Below are 20,852 nucleotides of genomic sequence, written 5' to 3' on the forward strand. Positions count from 1 at the left end.
TCCTCAACACATACACCCTCCCAAGACTAAAGCAGGAAGAAGTTGAATCTCTGAATAGACCAATAACAGGCTCTGAAATTGAGGCAATAATTAATAGCCTACCAACCAAAAAAAGTCCAGGACCAGATGGATTCACAGCCGAATTCTACCAGAGGTACAAGGAGGAGCTGGTACCATTCCTTCCGAAACTATTCCAATCAACAGAAAAAGAGGGAATCCTCCCTAACTCATTTTATGAGGCCAACATTGTCCTGATACCAAAGCCTGGCAGAGACACAACAAAAAAAAAGAGAATTTTACACCAATATCCCTGATGAAAATCGATGCAAAAATCCTCAATAAAATACTGGCAAACTGAATCCAGCAGCATATCAAAAAGCTTATCCACCACGATCAAGTGGGCTTCATCCCTGGGATACAAGGCTGGTTCAATATACGCGAATCAATAAATGTAATCCAGCATATAAACAGAACCAAAGACAAAAAACACATGATTATCTCAACAGATGCAGAAAAGGCCGTTAACAAAATTCAACAACCCTTCATGCTAAAAACTCTCAATAAATTTGGTATCGATGGGACATATCTCAAAAGAATAAGAGCTATCTATGACAAACCCACAGCCAATATCATACTGAATGGGCAAAAACTGGAAGCATTCCCTTTGAAAACTGGCACAACACAGGGATGCCCTCTCTCACCACTCCTATTCAACATAGTGTTGGAAGTTCTGGCCAGGGCAATCAGGCAGGAGAAAGAAAGAAAGGGTATTCAATTAGGAAAAGAGGAAGTCAAATTGTCCCTGTTTGCAGATGACATGATTGTATATCTAGAAAACCCCATCGTCTCAGCCCAAAATCTCCTTAAGCTGATAAGCAACTTCAGCAAACTCTCAGGATACAAAATCAATGTGCAAAAATCACAAGCATTCTTCTACACCAATAACAGACAAACAGAGAGCCAAATCATGAGTGAACTCCCATTCACAATTGCTTCAAAGAGAATAAAATACCTAGGAATCCAACTTACAAGGGATGTGAAGGACCTCTTCAAGGAGAACTACAAACCGCTGCTCAACGAAATAAAAAAGGACACAAACAAATGGAAGAACATTCCATGCTCATTGATAGGAAGAATCAATATTGTGAAAATGGCCATAATGCCCAAGGTAATTTATAGATTCAATGCCATCCCCATCAAGCTACCAATGACTTGGAAAAAACTACTTTAAAGTTCATATGGAACCAAAAAAGAGCCTGCATTGCCAAGACAATCCTAAGCCAAAAGAACAAAGCTGGAGGCATCATGCTACCTGACTTCAAACTATACTACAAGGCTACAGTAACCAAAACAGCATGGTACTGGTACCAAAACAGAGATATAGATCAATGGAACAGAATAGAGCCCTCAGAAATAATACCACACATCTACAACAGTCTGATCTTTGACAAACCTGACAAAAACAAGCAATGGGTAAACGATTCCCTATTTAATAAATGGTGTTGGGAAAACTGGCTAGCTATATGTAGACAGCTGAAACTGGATCCCTTCCTTACACCTTATACAAAAATTAATTCAAGATGGATTAAAGACTTAAATGTTAGACTTAAAACCATAAAAACCCTAGAAGAAAACCTAGGCAATACCATTCAGGACATAGGCATGGGCAAGGACTTCATGTCTAAAACAACAAAAGCAATGGCAACAAAAGCCAAAATTGACAAATGGGATCTAATTAAACTAAAGAGCTTCTGCACAGTGAAAGAAACTACCATCAGAGTGAACAGGCAACCTACAGAATGGGAGAACATTTTTGCAATCTACTCATCTGACAAAGGCCTAATATCCAGAGTCTACAAAGAACTCAAACAAATTTACAAGAAAAAAAACAACCCCATCAAAAAGTGGGCAAAGCATATGAACAGACACTTCTCAAAAGAAGACATTTATGCAGCCAAAAGACACATGAAAAAATGCTCATCATCACAGGCCATCAGAGAAATGCAAATCAAAACCACAATGAGATACCATCTCAAACCAGTTAGAATGGCAATCATTAAAAAGTCAGGAAACAACAGGTGCTGGAGAGGATGTGGAGAAATAGGAACACTTTCACACTGCTGGTGGGATGGGAAACTAGTTCAACCATTGTGGAAGACAGTGTGGCGATTCCTCAAGGATCTAGAACTAGAAATACCATTTGACCCAGTCATCCCATTACTGGGTATATACCCACAGGATTATAAATCATGCTGCTATAAAGACACATGCACACATATGTTTATTGTGGCACCATTCACAATAGCAAAGACTTGGAACCAACACAAATGTCCATCAATGATAGACTGGATTAAGAAAATGTGGCACATATACACCATGGAAGACTATGCAGCCATAAAAAATGATGAGTTCATGTCCTTTGTAGGGACATGGATGAAGCTGGAAACCATCATTCTCAGCAAACTGTCACAAGGACAGAAATCCAAACACCACATGTTCTCACTCATAGGTGAGAACTGAACAATGAGAACACATGGACACAGGAAGAGGAACATCACACACTGGGGCCTGTTGTGGGGTGGAGGGAGGGGGGAGGGATAGCATTAGGAGATATACCTAATGTAAATGACGAGTTGATGGGTGCAGCACAGCAACATGACACATGTATTCATATGTAACAAACCTGCACGTTTTGCACATATACCCTATAACTTAAAGTATAATAATAATTGAAAAATTAAAAAATAAAAATAAAATAAAAATAAATCTGTCTCTCCCAGTAGACTGTGGGCTCATGGAAGTCAGGGACCTTGCCTTGTTCATCTTTTTATTTCCAGGGCATAGGGCAATACCTGACTAGCACTTAAAAAAATTCACTTAATTAATTATTTACTCAGATTAATTGATTGCTTAGTGTCTAGTATATGTTCAGTGTCGTATAAGCCATGGTATCCTGCTCTGAAGCAGCTTATAATTATCACAAAGCAGTACACATGATAATATAAATTAAGTGCTGAATTGTGCAAAACCATGGCAGATACTTGTGGGAAAGGAATGCTGTAGGTAATAATAGTAATAGCAGCTCACATTTAGCTAAGGCAGTGTACTTAGCAATTTAACTTCATTAACTGGTTCAATCATCAACCATCCTTGGAGGCAAGTACATTATTATCTCCATTTTACAGATGAATAAACTCAAGTATGGGAAGGTTACATAAACTCCGTCAGTCACACAGATCTGGAAGTCCAATCCAGATAGAACAAAACTCGCAACGTTTTTTCACCTTTTTTTTTCCCATGTGTTTAAATTCTATTTCCTCTGTGCTGAAGCCTCCACAAGTCCTGTAAGTCAGCGATTTCTAACCATTTTTGAATCATGAACCTTTTGGCAGTCTGTTGAAGTCTAGTGATTGTGATCTCTTCTCAGGATTATGCTTTTAAATGCATAAAAATAAGTCCATACGATTACAGAGAAAAGCAATTATAATGAAATAGTTATAAAATTATTTTAAAAAACAAATTTGTGTTATAGTAGTATGTGTTTCTATGACAACTCATTAACAAAGTTTAAAAAGGGATTTAAGAGTAATGTAGTTTCGGTGTAGTTCATGAACACAAACATATTTTGAGAGAGCTGCAGTGGAATGTAATGTGATATGAAAATATATGTGTTTCTTTTGGTGATAATGACACAGGCACTGCTAGTACTACTGTACTTTATTGTCTAAGTCATAATATAAGTAAATGCTATATCTTAGAGGTTAGTGAATATAAGGATCTAATGTTTTCCCATCCTAGTTCACAGACCCCCTGAATTCTATCCAGATTAAAAATCCCTGTTTGCAAACTACAACTCGTCCATTTTACTGTGAAAACATCTCTTTTATATATATATGTATAGGTATATATGCATATGCGTGTGTGTGTGTATATGTGGATGGATGGATGGATGGATAGATTGATTGATTTAGGGGGTATAAGTGTAGTTGTGTTATATCATGGATATACTGCATGGACCATCTGGGCTTTTAGTGTACCCATCACCCAAATAGTGTACACGTACCCAATAGGTAGTATTTCATCCCTCACTTCCCTCCCCCCACCCTCTCATTTTGAGAAATGCAAATTAAAACCACAATGAGATAGCATCTTAACACCAGTCAGAATGGCTTATTACTAAAAAGTCAAAAAATGGCCAGGCACAGTAGTTCACGCCTATAATCCCAGCACTTTGGGAGGCTGAGGCAAGAAGATCACTTGAGCCCAGGAGTTTGAGGCTGCAGTGAGCTTTGATCACGTCACTGTACTCCAGCCTAGGATACAGAGAGACACCATGGTCTTGCCTCACATGTAGGTTACAAATGCCGGGAATATACTCTAATCCATACTGAAACAGGAAGTACTTAAGAGCAAGGTAGAACCAACACGCCCTGCAGGACGCCTGGATGACACCTCACAGATAGCAGATACCTATTTACAAGATAAATTCATCCATATTTTATATCATCCCCGTGTCCCTAAAAAGAGTTGGTGTCTCCTAAACAGTTTGAATTTTTTTTTTCAAATAGTGTTTATTCAAGACAGTAAATTTTAACTCACCAGCTTAACCACTCTAAATAAAACTCCCATTCACCCATCTGGATTCAGAGGCAAAAGAATGCTTTTCCCAATGATCTTATGAAAATAAGATTCTCCATACTGTCTTATAGAAACTGTCAATGACAAAAATGAATATTCTTGACAACTGTAAGGGGGACTATGTCTTTAGTATGTTTTATGTTGTGTCAAATGAAAATTATCCTCCCAATAAGTACTTTGATAATCAATACAAAATTAAATTTTATAAACAAAACCAATAGTGTACTAGGAAACAGACGAACAATGACTGTCTTAGCTAATCACAGGCTTGCGTACGTTACTTGTTTAATGTTCCATGCTTTCCAAAAGCTTAATCTATCCATTTTTATGACACTGAAAGAGAAAAGCTTTAAATATGTCAAGGTGAAGCCAGCCCCCACTGTGACTGTGCTAACACAGGTACACGTGTTTTCTCTCAAGATCTATCCCTGAAGCCAAAGAAAAGAAATAAAGCTCTAAAATAGAAGCTTAATGATAAAAAGAACTATTGAGTAAATCTGACAGAGGATTAGCAAACGACATGCACGAAACTGACTTAAGAGTAACATTTGAGCAAACATAAAACTTATGATGCTGTCAGGGTCATAGAGTCAGGGAAATGGGATTATTTACTCTTAAAAACTTTTAAAAAAGAACATAAAAGAAAATTGTAACCGTAAAATTAGGAAGAGCTTCCTGATACAAAAAAAAAAAAAAAACTATCCACATATAAGATAGAGTTTGCTTGAATGAGGTGGATAACTAACTATAGGTGTTCAAAGAAACATTACTTAACCTTAAGCTGACAAGATAAAGTAAAATGAATAAAACTAAATAACTTCCTGAGGAAAGGCATTTAAAGTTAAAGAGCATTTCCCTGATTAATGAAGGAGTAATCCTGTAAAATGGAATCTGTGGTCAAATGGACCTCCCCATCAGAAAGCTTCAGCAGTGCCACGGCTCAGAATTCCTCTAAGTACTAACTTGGCATTTTTCCCTCATGAAAGACACAGCTTTGCTGACACTGGATTTAAAGAACCAAGGGTATCAGAGAGCCTGATAAACAAATGTGCCCTTCAAAGGATTATAAATAGGTATGAGCGTAAATTCTTTCTGAACTGGGGTGCCAGTTTAAAGTATTAAGACTATGGCATAGCACAAACATAAGCATCTCAGATCTGTCAAGGTCCTACCTTTGCAATGTGTTAGCTCTAAACTGAGCAGCCTTTCCTTGGGCCTGGGAATTAGAAAATGCTACACTGAAGTAAATTGCATGTGCTTCTTTCTGTTATTGGCAGCTACCTAGCTTGGGTTAAATTTCTAGGCCACTGGTGAAATTGAGAATTTACACCAGATTTACTTACCCACAGCCCACCTATATAGATGTACTATCCTTTTTTAAGAATATACAAGCAGAAGAAAAGAGAATGAAGAGTTAACAGAGGTCTAGCCCTGCCCTCTGCCACAAATTTGCTAAGTAGGCATGAAAAATTGACACTCTCAGTTTCACCTAAAAATGCATGAAGAGAGAAGAGGAAAATGCTCAAACAAGATGTTTTCCTCAGCTATCCTCAAGCAACAAAATTCTACAATCCATGCATTATCCAGTCTTCATAACAAAATGGATGCCATCAAGAATGCAGGCAACTTTACAGAACACACTCACAGGCAGCAGAAACCCAGATATTGTATACAACAATAGGAATCTCAGACATGAAAACACATTGTGCAAATTCTTACTCAACACTTAATTTAAAATGCCATCCTTAGAATATAAGAAAATATGAAGTGAAACACAATGGTTAATATCAAAAACAGCAAATACAATGTGATCTGCAGAGCTCAGTGCAAATTTAGAATATCACTTCTCATTACTGGTTATGGATTTCATCTATGAATGTGTTGACATTTTTTATCTCCTCTTGCCACAGCCTGCCAATCTTGGTTTACTTAGCGATCAACAACTCACTACAAAAAAAATAGGCTTTTTCCAGGGCATTATTGCAAAGTTTAAAAGGTATTTAGACAGGTCAAACATCCCTTGAAATATGAAAAGTAAATTTTTCTATTCCAAAGTAAAATGACAAAAATTTTTCATCAAAATATTTAAATGCCAATCTTCCCAGCTCCTCTCTCTCTCTAGCTTACAAACATAAGACCAAGCAATGCAGTATATCTATCAAGGATAAAAAAGTAAGGTAATTACATAAAATTTTAAAAGCCTGAAAAGGCTCTTAGTTTTTACAAAGAAATCAATAAACAACTGCAATTATTTTTAAGTAAATATGAAGAGTTGAGGTATAATGTTAGGGGAAGAAGAGAGATAAGTGAAATGGAATGATACCAATCTGATAGCTGGTGGTAGAAAATTGGAGTAGATATTCCCAAATTCCTTGGGAAGAAGCTAATTTCTGAAGTCAAGTTCCTTGGTATTCTAGACTAGGAAGTAAGAGTGTGTATAAAGATTGAAAAACAATGACCTGAAGATTTGTCCTGAAAGTAAAGTATCAAGTCATGCTCCTTTATTTGTTCTTTACAGTTTTGGGGGACTGCAAGAATACCTAGGATAAAGGAAAGAGAAGTACAACGGAAGAAATTAACATTCAGACACTTGTGCAACTGGAGGGAGCTTTGTTTTTATTTTTTTCAATTTTATTTATTTTAAATTTATCTTTTGATACATTATATTTGTACACATTCATGGGGGCACTTGTGATATTCTGTTATAGGCATAAGGTAACACTAATGATAATTTTCTTACATTTGTAATGATCAAATTAGGGTATTCAGGATGTCTATCACCCAAGTATTTATTATATTACAAGTCGCCTCTCTTCTGTTTTGAAAAATACATAATTGTTAACTATAGGCACCCTACTCTGCTATCAAACATTAGAACTTTAACTGTATGTTTGTATCCATTACCCAACCTCTCTTTACCCTCTATCCAACACCTGCTCTTCCTAGCCTCTGGTATTTATCATTCGTTTGCTACCTCCATGTGATCAACTCTCTTAGATTCTACATATGAGGGAAATCATGCAGAATTTGTCCTCCTGTGTCTGGCTTATTTCACTTAACACAATGACCTCCAGTTCAATCCATGTTGCTGCAGATGATAGGATTTCATTCTTTTTTTTACGGTCAACAGTATTCCATTGTGTATATATATCACATTATATTTATCCATTCATCTGTTGATAGACACTTAGGTTGATTCCACATCTTTGCTATTGGGAATAGTGCCACAATAAACATGAGGATGCAGGTATTCTTTTGACATATTGATTTAATTTCCTTTGGATAAATACCAAGTAATGAGATTGCTGAATCTTATGGTATTTCTATTTTTAATTTTTTAAGGAAACTCCATACTGTTTTCTGTAGAGGTTGTACTAGTTTACATTCCCACCAACAGTATATAGGAAATCCCTTTTCTCTACATACTTGTCAACATCTGTTATTTTTTGCCTTTTTAATAATAGCCATTCTAACTGAGGTGGGATGATATTTCATTGTGGTTTTTATTTTTTCATATACATGTTGGCCATTTATATGTCTTCTTTTGAGAAATGTCTATTTATGCCCTTTGCCCATTTTTAACGGTTTTTTTTTTTTTTTTTTTTTACTGTTGAGTCCTTTGAGCTCCTTGTATATTCTGGATATTAGTCCCATCTTCCCCCTTCTACAGATAGGGAAACAGTTCCAAAGCAATGGCATGAGTTGCACCAACATAATCAGCTCTTGAGGAGAACCTAAATCACAGAGGTACTAATACACGAGGGGTGGTAACTGGAATGAAGAGGAGCAGCAGCAGAGGGAAGTATGATGTAAATCATTGTTATCAGTGATTTATAATCATGAAAACAGAATCCAAAGGAAATAAAATGAAGTGTAGTCTCTACCTGAAATGTGAATGTGTCTTTCATCCTAAGAGAACAGAAAATGAGTGAATATTGGAGGTAAGAAACTTACAAAAAATTAATGCAAAATACAAAAAACAAAATGAAGAAAATAATCACATCATAACAGAGGGTTAAGCATCTTCTTAGTGTATAAACAATGCCTATATGAATCAGTATTAAGAAAATGAACATGTAAATGGGACATAGGACATGAACAGATAATTCACAAAGAAATATGAATGACCAATATAGAAATGTTAAACTTCACTAATAGCAAATAATAATAATAAGGGAACCTAACCATTGGCATTTATTTTATGATAATACCAAATGTGCAAGTAAAAACAGCACTCATATATGGTTATGGTAGAAAAACCTGTTACTACTTTGAGGGCAATTTAATAATCTGTATAAATAACCTAAACAGTGCTCATCACCTATCACCCAGTAATTCTACTTGCAGAAATTTATCCAAGATAATAAACTTATGACTATGAACAATTATTTCAGCATTTACTTTTTAATAGTAAAAAATGAAAACATAACTAATAAGCAAGATATTAAATAATATTTAGATACAAGCACACAATGATTTATTATGCATTTACTTAAAACCATGTTTATATTGAGTATCTGATATTAAAGTATGCTAATGTCATATAAATCAGATTCCAGTTTTATACATACAAAACAGAAACACCAAACTGTAAAAGGAGTTGCTATAGCTATTGAAATTATACAGGCGGTATTTGTTTTCTTTTTCTCTCTTTTTATAATGTACTATTTTTAGAGCAGTTTTAGGATGACAAAAACATTTCTTATTTTAAATATTTCTTAAATTTGCCAACATAAACATATACTACTTCTATTAAAAAGTGTTCTTAAAATAATATCACAGTAGAAAATTTCTGAATTTCACAATTCAAGACATTTTGCAAAAAAAGGCCAGAATTAGAACATTTTTGAGATAAAAATGAGTACTGTTCCCCAAATTTCATAATAAACATATTGAAAAATTTTTTTTTAATTCATTGAAGGAATGAAGGAATTTGTCCCATTATAAAGCAGGAAATCTGAACAGCAAATGGTGGTGGGGGTGGGGGTGGCAACAACAAAGCTGATTTTAATACTTTTTTGGTAACTTTTAAAAGATTAAATACCTCTCTCTCATTTATTCTTTGGAACCAAAGTAGAACATAAACAAATGAAAACAGTAAGAAAACTATACATCCTTTCTGAAAAGTTGTGAACAAAGCCAAGTCACAAATTTTTTTTTTTTTTAAGAAGCTCTAGCATCCATATTTTGTACAACAGCAGAACTTGAAAGTTTGTATTATGCTGAAAGCAGCTAGTAAGCAACTGTATACTGCCTTTTGGAAATCTACAAGAGAAAGACCATTTACTTTTCCACATGTCCACTGTAAATCACATTGTCATTTGTTATATTTGGATAAAGTGCACCTGAATTCTGTGAAACAGAAGCAGATATCTGAGGGGAAGAATAGCTTGGAAAGTAACAAATTGCAATCAACCTATGTTTACCTAACTGCAGAGTCAGATGATGTTTCCTAAATTGAAAAATAGACCAAAACCAAAAAATGGCCAAAAACGAAGAGCAAACACTTGTAGAATTTGTGTACATTTTAGCACTTCCTTTAGACAATGAGGTGCTTAAAGAAAAAAAAAAGGTGAAGAGGGGAAAAAAAAACCCTTCAATTAACAAAAAAGATGAAAGTGCAGCAGAATCAAACAACAATTAGGAACCGCAAAATTATCAAGATTATAACTGCCAACTTTTATTAAGTAGTTAGGTATGCTACCTGCCATTTCTTTCTTCTCTTCCTATTCTGGTCCGTCCCTCTACCATCATGTCTGCCAACTTAGGTGGTTTAGATATTTGGGTCAATTTTTAATTATGCCAACTGTGTGTGTGAGAATATTGAAGAAATTTCACAAACATACTTCTTTATTATTCTTGTTACTTATAATACTTAAGACATCTTATTAAAAATATGATATAAATTATATTGTTACATAAAAATCATTATCATTCCTCAGTATATGCTTTTATGTAACATGTTGAACAGTATTCATAGTAAATATTAATTATAACTAACATATACACACAAAGACACCCCCCACCCAAGAAAACACCACATAGAAATACCCAAAAAGATCTAATCCTGGAATAATCTAGCTGAAAGAAATTATTTCCTTTAAAAAAATGTACCAAGAAGAAATGAATTTTGTCAAATAACGTGGAGAAAAAGAAATATATCTCGGGTTTCATACCAAGATCCCAGGTATTAAAGTAAACCGAATATCTGAAGGTACAACCACTATAAGAACAGACAGAAAACTTTTTTTTTTTGAGATGGAGTAATTGTCTATAGACTATATAGACCTACAATCAAGATGGAAAAGGCTATTCATAAAAATCATTCAAGAAATAGCAATCATAAAGCTGAGAGAGAAAAATAATAGCAAACAGATTTTGAGAAAATGTATATACTACGAGTACAAAGATATCTTTTCAATTTAATTTGTAATACACATTTATTAGGATTGTTCATATATATATTGTTGAAGAATATAATATAATATATATTCTAGGATTAGATCTTTTTGGGTATTTCTATGTGCTATTTTCTTGGGTGGGGGTGTCTTTGTAATATATATTTGTGTATAATATATATTATGTAATAAATACATATATTTACATTATATATTATATATAATTATATATTACATATCATTATATATTATATATAATCCTTCAAGCCAATCCTTCAACATACATTATGTATATAATATATATACATTATATATTATATACATAATGTATATTATATATAATATACATTATATATGCTATGTATATTATATGATATACATTATATATGCTATGTATAATATATATTATATAATATACATTATATATTATGTATAATACATATTATATACAGATTCAGAAATGGCTATCACAGCTAAAGGATTGTAAACATAATAAATGAGCAAATTACCACTTAAAGATTATTAATAGTTGACAACAGCTGCATACAGCAAACAATATATATAACATCCCTGAAAACACAGACTTCAAATGATGTAAGAAGCCACAAAAGATCATAGAATCACAGAATAACTAGGTTAGAAAGAACATGAAAGGCCAACCATGCTTCATATATATCTAGCATCTTCAAGGAAACACAAAATCATGAAATGAAGGACAATCATATTCAAAAGAAATTTCATTACAATACAAAAGTAATACTTTTAGAAAAAGAGAATTGTGGAGAAAGTAAGAATAAAAACAAGATCAAAATATACAGTTTCTAGATAGAGCAATAAGTACTGCAATACCCATTCACTCAGTCATCAAGTATTCATTGAATATATTTGTGTGCTAAACTGGGGATACAATGGTAAACAGAAATGGCTCTTTCATGGAACATACATTCTAGAAGTTATAAGGTCTGCATCAATATGGTTCTCAAATGACAATGTGAATCAAAATTATCAAGGCTGTGAACAAATGTGATCCCAAAAGAGCCAATCCTTCAAGATGGATCCCAAGTAGCTAACTAGGTTTACATTCAAATTGAGTCAAGTGGCCATTTGCTGACTAGAAGTCACAAATGTTACTCTGAGTTCCCTGAAAATTCACACCTCTGTTTAACTTTGGGACTTCAGGAACTCACCTGAACCCACCAATCAGAGCTCACCTACCTTGTCCAATCAGGGCCCAGTGATATCCAACCAATCAGAACTTGCTTGTGTTGACCAATGAGAGCTAAGCAAGTTTGAATCCTTTATTTGCATAAGTGGACCTGACTGGGAACCTAGTGCAAAATCTTTCACTATAAAATCAGAGCCCATTGCTTGAGTCAAGGATTTCTAGGCCACAGTAAGCTATGATCACATCACTGCACTCTAGTCGGGGTGACTGAATGAGACCTTGTCTCAAAATAAATTAAATTAAAAATCAAAATTAAATAAATGAAATTGCTTTTCAGAGAACTTTTGTTCACAAAGCACAGGTTCAAAATTCAGATGTTGAAGCCCCATTCTCAGAAATTCTTATTCAACAGGTCTTGTATGGAACCTAAGAGTCTGCTTTTAGTCAGCTATGGTGGTATGAGGTCCTTAGCTCTGCTTTTAATTAGCTATGCAGTATTGGACAAGTCACTTAACTTCATGAGTAAGATGGGAATAATTATCTTGTTTATAAGACTTATTCTAAAATATAAATATATATTTAAATATATTTTAATTTCTCTGATGTCTGAGATTGCTAATAGATTTTGAAGTGCCCACAGTACCTGACATAGGTATATTCAAAATGGCAACTGTGAAATAACGATAGCATGCCAGAAATAGTAAAAAAAAAAAAAAAAAAAAAAAAAAAAAAGAAAAAAAAAAAAGAAAATCTGGATTCACATTTAACTCGGATGCTTACAATATGTAACACTGGAAAAGTCATTTAACCTCTATGAGCTTCAATTTCTATTTATGTAAAGTGTAGGTAATAATACTTGCACTGTTTATTGCAAGGAGATATTGAAAGAAGAAAAGTTAAGACTGTTCTGGTAAACTATAAAAATTACTACATAAAAGTAATAATACATAAATAAAACATAAAGATCATGATCACAGGAAAATATGCAAAATATACTTCTAAAAAAATGAAAGGCATTTTGGGAAAAAAATTGAGAAGCAACTTTTCTACCTTATTTTTCCAACTAAATTTATTTATTCATTCAAGAGTTTGTTGCATACCAAGTGTGTATTACCTGGAAAACAGTAACTCCACAAATGCACCCCAGGAATGCAGACTCCATAATGAGCATCACAAATCTTAACACCATTTTGAGACGTGCACAAAGACATGTTAGATATAGTTTCACGACTAAACACTAGCTGGAAATACGAACAGAAGTATAGAAAAACCCTCGGTCACCAAGTCAAACCACCTCTTCAATGCTTACATCTCTTTCTGTAAAAATCCTAGCAGGTAGTCATTTAATTCCACTGGTTAGCAATCCACCAATTCTAAGAGAATCATCTGGAAAGCTTTCAAAAGCATGAATTCTGTAAGTCTGATTCAGAAAGTCTGAGACAGAACCCCAGGACCTGTTTCTGTAGTATGTTTCCCAAGTGACTGTGAAAGGCCACTAGAATCAAGTTGTGATGCTATACTCAACCAGTCCATTCTATTTTGGGGCACTGCAACCAAACTCTAGATATATTAGGTTGAAATCTTCCCCACTTCAGTTTCCACCCAAGTCCTAGTTTTACTCTTGGGATTGCATACAACACCATAAACCGAATCTGTCTACAGGCTAAACACCCCCAGCTCCTTCAACTTACATATGGCATGTTTCAAACCTGATCACTAAATTTGTGCACTTTTTTTATTCATATATGGTGCCCAGAAGAGAACATAATCCTCATGTAGAACACAATGGGGATACTCTCTCCTTCACTGGAGTTACAATATTTTTATTAGCACAGCTTGTGTGCCTTTTTTTCAATCTGTATTCTGTTGAAATGTGTGCCTTTTTCTAAACTGTGGCCACATCATACTACGCTTACTTTTAAAAACTCACTTATTTTGAAATATTCTAGGTTTACACAAAAGTTACAATGATAGTACAAAGAACTCCCTCATCCCCCTGCTGATCCAATTTCAGTTTCCCTAACCTTATCATCTTAGAGTGCAGCAGTGCATTTATCAAAACCAAATATAAGCCTACTGTTTCACTAAAAACTTTATATCTTTTTATACAGATTACTCCCCTGAGCTACATTTCCTTCATCCCAAATACAGACTTTTGGCTTTTCTTTAGTTTAAGTACATGAGGCAAATATAGAAATTTACAGTTAATACTGTAAGATTCAAATATTGAATTTTACATGATGAAATCTTCCTCTGACTCTTACAAGGTGAAATCTAAGGTCCTATAGATGTTAAAATTTTGAGCTCCTATAACTTGTTAAGATATTCTGAGACAAGGTCCAGTTGGACATACCCACTCTTGACATTAGATTTATGTTATATACATATTTAGTCAGCAAAACTTCATTTAATTCAATAGGCTGAGGCTTGGGGTAAGGTAAACTTCTCTAGAGTTGCATTAATTAACCTCTGATGCATACCATCACTATTACAAATCCAATCAGTTAACAGTACATCCAATTACTTAATATTTTTACACAAAAATATTCTTGCCTCAGGTAAGTTCAGACCCATTGTATCTCCACATTTTCCCTTGTTTATTAGTCTAATATATATTCGCATATTATGCTTCTTCAGCTGAAAGGTGTTGAGTACCTGCACAATGAAAGGAATCCATTCCCTCAAATGACTCTGAATTGCTTATGCAAAAAGTGAATTCTCTAAACTAACAGCTAGTGGCAACTCACTGAAGCAGTTAATGACCATGTGTGAAAACTGGTGCTCATAGGAAATCCATAGAGAAACTCCTATGAGTCACAAGCTAGAATCAGAAGAAACAGCAGAATGGTATTGGTAGTATTATTTCTTTAGGAAGCAAAGAGAATTCAATTCATCCTCTTGAAATTAGTTACTAGCTTTAATTATTATAAAGCTTAGGGAACAAAATTGCATAAGATAGCAATTTACTATTGAAATCCAGATTTAAAAGGATAATTTAGACATGTGGACCTAAAGATAGCTATAGTCAGCTGTATCAATCACTGCCAGAAGATTTTTCTAAATAGTTTACTTCTCCTCAAAAGATGTGACTAATTTCGATTCTGTTTATCTCTCAAAACCAGGCTGTGGAATTAGAGCTTTTAAATTGCTAAATAGAACTGACAATGCTTTCAAAAAGGTTGCAAATTCACAGCCTTCCTGTCAGACCAGCAAGCTTCTTTAAAATGAGAAACCCATAAAAATAATAAAACTCCTTTTAAAATGCATCGGAAAGCCAAAAACAAAGCTCTTCAAACTTACCTCATAATAACTCCGAACTGCGTTGCAAAATGCTTCGTCAGCTACAATTTGGGTTTCCCCATTGAGGAAGGCCTGGAACCGTTCTTTCAGTAACTGCAACTGTTGTTTGTTAAGCTACAAGAAAAAGAGAAAATAAGCAGATAAATTGGCCAGTACATGAAAAAATAATGACTATTAAAAATCATATTTGCTGTATATTAGATTTCACATCTAGAATTAACTTTATAGTAAAGAAAAATAAAAGCTAAAACATCCTACTACTTGTTCTAATGGTTAGACCTCCATCTCAAGATGGAGTCAAGCTCTGTCTTCCAGGCTGGAGTGCAGTGGTGCGATCTCGGCTCACTGCAGCCTCCACCTCCCGGGTTCAAGCGATTCTCCTGCCTCAGACTCCTGAGTAACTGGGATTATGGTGCCTGCCATCACGCCTTGCTAATTTTTGTATTTTTAGTAGAGATGTTGGCCAGACTGGTCTCAAACTCCTAACCTCAAATGATCCGCCTGCCTTGGCCTCCCAGTGTGCTGGGATTACAGGCATGAGCCACTGCACCCGGACACTAATGGTTAGACTTTAAAACATTTCCAAGCCATTTCATGTACTCTGTAATCCTGATATGGAAGTGGAATCCAAATTTCTACCCCAAATTTCCAGAATCCTGATATGGAAGTGGAATCCAAATTTCTACCCCAAGTTTCTATCTCAAATTTCCAGAATTCTTGTGATTGCCACACCAGTTTCTTCATAGAGACAGGGAAAATATAAAATTTGGATAAGAAATTAACTAATAGTTAATATTAATAATATTATACAAAATCGCCAGCTGTTCTAAACAGAGAAAGTAGAGAGGAGCTTAGAGATGAGGGAGGGATGCCTTGGACAAGAGTTAATAGGAAGAAAGACTGAAAAGACAGAACGTACCCTAAGAAAGATCCCTCTGGAAAGAACAGCCATTGCATGCCAAAATTTGGATTCCATGAACAAACATACATCAATACCTGAGTTTAGATAATTGAAGGAATAATAAGGAGAAGACAAAGAAGACAAATCCAAAAGAGAACAGAGAGGCAGCAGGTAGGCAGTGAATGCGTCTTTGAGCACATAGGAGAAAATGCTCTGAACTGGGGAAGTTTACAACCAAGGGTCCTTACCCTGGGTCTAGCTTCCATAATTAATACAGAGGGTGAATTAGACATGAAATGTGACTTATCAATCATGTCCTCTAGTCATCAACTACAAGCAGGGTGAGCTACTTAATTTGTAGGGCCCAGTGCAAAATAAAAATAAGGAGCTTCTTAGTAAAAATATTAACAATTTCAAGACGGCAGGAACAGAGAGCATTAAGCTGAGTGCAGAGCCCTTCTAGGCACTAAGCCCTGCACAACTGTACACACAGGGGCATGTACTTCACTAGAAATAAGGCGTCTTAGATCTTAGGTAATGCAGAAGCTTTTTTTTTTTTTATGCTTAACTGGAGAGAAAACAACATAGTCTTGGAGATAAAACAACAAATTCCAAAATACATAAGAAACAGCAAAGGAATGATCCTTCCATTTCATTCGATCCTGATCAGACTTTATTAACAAACTCATTCCAGTTCTGGAATCTACAGAGGGATGTGAAGCATCTGGAAACATACTGAGGATAAAATGATTAAAGGATTAGGAAGACTAAACAAACTGGTATGACTTGGCTCAAAAAGAAGGCTGATGTGAATTAAGTATAAATCTGTTCAAAAGGCTTATTAAACTGCCATTCAAATAAAAGGAAGACAAGCTCTTTCAAAAAATGGGTTTTATTTAGGACTCTAACAAATAAGACAGTTTTTAAAGAAACTGTAGCTGGGAGTAACAGACTGATTTAAAAAAAATTAAAAAGTGTCCTATTGTACCCAGGGGGGGAAAAAAAAAAAAAAAAAACTTTTGCCATGGGCAGCGAAGAAAGAAGACCATTCCATCTCTTTACTAAGATTATCTCCTTCATTTTAGAGGAAGCTTAACCAAGCTGAGGTGCAGGAACATCATCATTATATTACAATCTCCATTTCTGTAATATTAAGAAAATGGAAGCAGGTACCTTTTGTATGGGTGCATACTAGCAACGCAAATTAAGTTCATGACTTTAGCTCTCTAGGCATGATTCACAAAAGGGACCAAATGGAAATGGGACAGCAATTGCTGAGAGTGAGGCGGCTGAAAGCACTATAGTTACTAAGCTCTGGGAATGCCAAGAAGAGCTTCTCCTTGCAAGCCAAGTAAAATAATGGCAATGGAAATGTATGCAAAGAATGACAATGAACTGAAGGAGACCTTACTGATCACTTGTGCCAACTCCTTTGCTTGATAAATAAAATACATACTCTTCAAAAACTAGAAACTGTGTATTTTTTCATTCAATTTTATTTTATCAAAGATATCTTTTTTGTTCTTTAAAACTCTTCTAAACTACAATATTTGCAATTTCTACATCATTAGTATTTAAGTTCCGCTATTATAACAGTGAGTTACTCTTTGGTAATTACAGTGTAGAAAATTCATGGATATGAATCAAGGAAAGGAGGTTTGGGCAAATCATCTTCTTGGAAGCTCCAACAAAGTTGATATAGTTCACAAAATAAGCCAGAGTCACCTGGCTAAATGTCAGGCTTCAATATTTTTATGAATAGAGGATACTGCAGTTACATTTAAGACATAAAATGGATCAAATATGACAATTACATACAAAAAGCAAATAAATGAATACTTTATTAGCATAAAGAAGAAGTCTACTTTTTCACATAGGCAAGATGGGGCAGGAAAAGAAAACTAAACTTAAAATCTAGCACTGGGGATAGCTGTCAGAAAGCAGTTTCCTAAAAGCTATTTGCATTATCAAGATAAACCAGACTGTATACCAAGAGATAGACCAGTGGAACAGATCGAAGAAACAGACCGAAATACAATCAGAAATGTACTATAAAACACCTATATAGCAACTCAAATCAGTAGTAATGGATGGTCTACTCAATGAATGGTGTTAAAATAATATAAAAGATGTTCCACCTCATGTCATCAGGGAAATGCAAATTAAAATAATGAGATTTACTACAAACCCATTAGAAAGAACAAAATCCAGAACACAGAAAACACTTGATGCTGGCAAGGATATAGACCACAGGATCTCTCATTCTTTGCTACTGGGAAAGCAAAATGGTATAGCTACTTTGTAAAACAGGTTGATGGTTTCTTACAAATTAATACACTTCTATCATATGATCCAGTAATCACAGTCCTTAGTACTTGCCCAAATGAGTTGGAAATTTATGTCCACACAAATACCTGTACACAAATGTTTAAAGTAGCTTTTTTCATAATTGCAAAATTCAGTAGATGAATGGATAAACTCGGGTACGTCCAACAATGGAATATTATTTAGCAAGTAATGAAATAAGCTATCAAGCCATGGAAAGACATGGAGGAACCTTAAATGCATATTACTATGTAAAAGCAGCCAATATAAAAAGGCTACATACTGTACGACTCCAACGATATGACATTCTGGACAAGGCAAAGCTATGGAGACAGTAAAAAGATCAGCTGTTGATAACAGTGTAGGCTATGCATGTGTGGGGGCAGGATATATATGGGAAATTTCTGTACCATCCACTCAAGCTCAATTTTGTTGTGAAATTAAAATTTCATAAAAAAATAAACTCTATTAAAAATACTGAAATGTCATCAATTTATTTGCATTAAAAATAAATTTTACATGGCAAAAAATACCATAGGCAAAATAGGAAAAGATTAACTAGAAAAAAAAATACTTGCAACTCATTACCCAAAGAGTTCATTTCTAACCATATAGAGAGTTCCTAGAAATTGATAAGAACATCATAAATAAACCAACAGAAAAATGGACAAAATTGATATGTTCAGATAAAAGACTTAATCCATGAAAACAAGCCTACATTCATAAAAAGAATACAAATTAAAACTGTATGAGAAGCCATTTTAAAGGTACATATCCTTGGAATCAGCAATTCCACTTTGAGATTGGATCAATACTACAGATACACCTGCACATGTGAGAAATGACATGTGTAGAAGGTTATTTACCACATAATTCTTAATTGCAAAAACAAGGAAAATAACCTAAATGTTCATATATAGGAGACTAAATTATGCCACATCTATAAACAGTGGTATACTATTCATTGCATTAAAAGAATGTAAACATTCTCTATGTACTGATTTTAAATATTTTAAAAATATCTTGGGGCAGAAAGCAAGTTATAGAACAGCAGTTAAAATAAGTCACCACTCACATAGAAAATGGATAAATAACATGTATGTGAATTTGCTTCCATATATAGACAGAAACTAGGGAAGAAGGATGGCTGTGGGAACTGGACAGACAGAAAATACAGGTAAAAGAGATTTTTCAACATTAGCACTTTATTCATTTTGAGTTTTCAAGTGAAACAACCCTTAAAATAAGCTATAACAGCAGCTTTGTACATCTTGAAACTCAAAACAGTTATGAAGCACTGTGAATACCTTAAATCCTATCCTACACGGAGACTGGACAGCACACCAATTTTTTCCATTCTTTCAGGTAAAAAAACTTACCTTGACTCTGTGTCTATTTTTTTAAATATTACAATCTTGAGGATTTCAAAAAGCTTAAACCAAGATCCTATTCAACATTCTAATCAACATATTAATCTGTACAAAATCTACAAAAGTAGACTTTCAGATTCCAGTTGGGCCTATTAATACACACACATATACATACATCCTTTTATTATCTCAGTGAATCCTATTCTAATTTGGAACAAGTATAAAAATTGAAATCAGTGTCCCTATGGCTTCCATACAACTCTAGTACTATACACTATCTAAGACAAAACAGACTGTTACTTTCATTCTTTAACACAGCAGTTCAAGACTTTGAGAACAAAATAAAATGATTATTTAAGAGTTTTCTCTTTTCTAGAACAAATTTTACCAGTTCGCTCCAATATCCTGGGTACTCTCCTAAGGATACATTCCAGTTTGCCATAAAATCACCATGTTAAATAAAACTAAGTATGATGGATACTTGGATGCAATGGATCATAAGTTCTGAGTTTACAGATGCGCAGAGTCGCTATTATAGCTTTTTTAAAAATCTAAACAAACTGGGCGCAGCGGCTCATGCCTGTAATCCCAGCATTTTGGGAGGTCAAGGCAGGCGGATCACCTGAGGTCAGGAGTTCGAGACCAGCGTGGCCAACGTGGTGAAACCCCGTCTCTACTAAAAAAAAATACAAAAATTAGCCGGGTGTGGTGGCATGTTCCTGTCGTCCCAGATACTTGGGAGGCTGAGGCAGGAG

The 20,852-nt window shown here is 34.6% G+C and overlaps 1 protein-coding gene and 1 long non-coding RNA gene across 29 annotated transcripts in view; one reads left to right on the top strand and one right to left on the bottom strand.

Annotated features, from left to right (window-relative positions):
• CADPS2 (calcium dependent secretion activator 2) overlaps positions 1–20,852 on the bottom strand; it is a 568,050-nt gene that overhangs the window by 403,043 nt on the left and 144,155 nt on the right. For all 28 annotated transcript variants that reach the window (NM_001363398.2, NM_001009571.4, XM_047421032.1 and 25 more), the window contains one exon: positions 15,502–15,615. In NM_001363398.2, coding sequence (NP_001350327.1) covers positions 15,502–15,615 — 114 coding nt within the window. The remainder of the gene's footprint in view (positions 1–15,501; positions 15,616–20,852) is intronic.
• Positions 1–20,852, top strand: part of LOC124901738 (uncharacterized) — a 44,981-nt gene that overhangs the window by 18,362 nt on the left and 5,767 nt on the right. The gene's annotated exons all lie outside the window — the stretch shown is intronic.

Source organism: Homo sapiens, chromosome 7 (genome assembly GCF_000001405.40).
Source record: "Homo sapiens chromosome 7, GRCh38.p14 Primary Assembly".
Taxonomy (NCBI): Eukaryota; Metazoa; Chordata; class Mammalia; order Primates; family Hominidae; genus Homo; species Homo sapiens.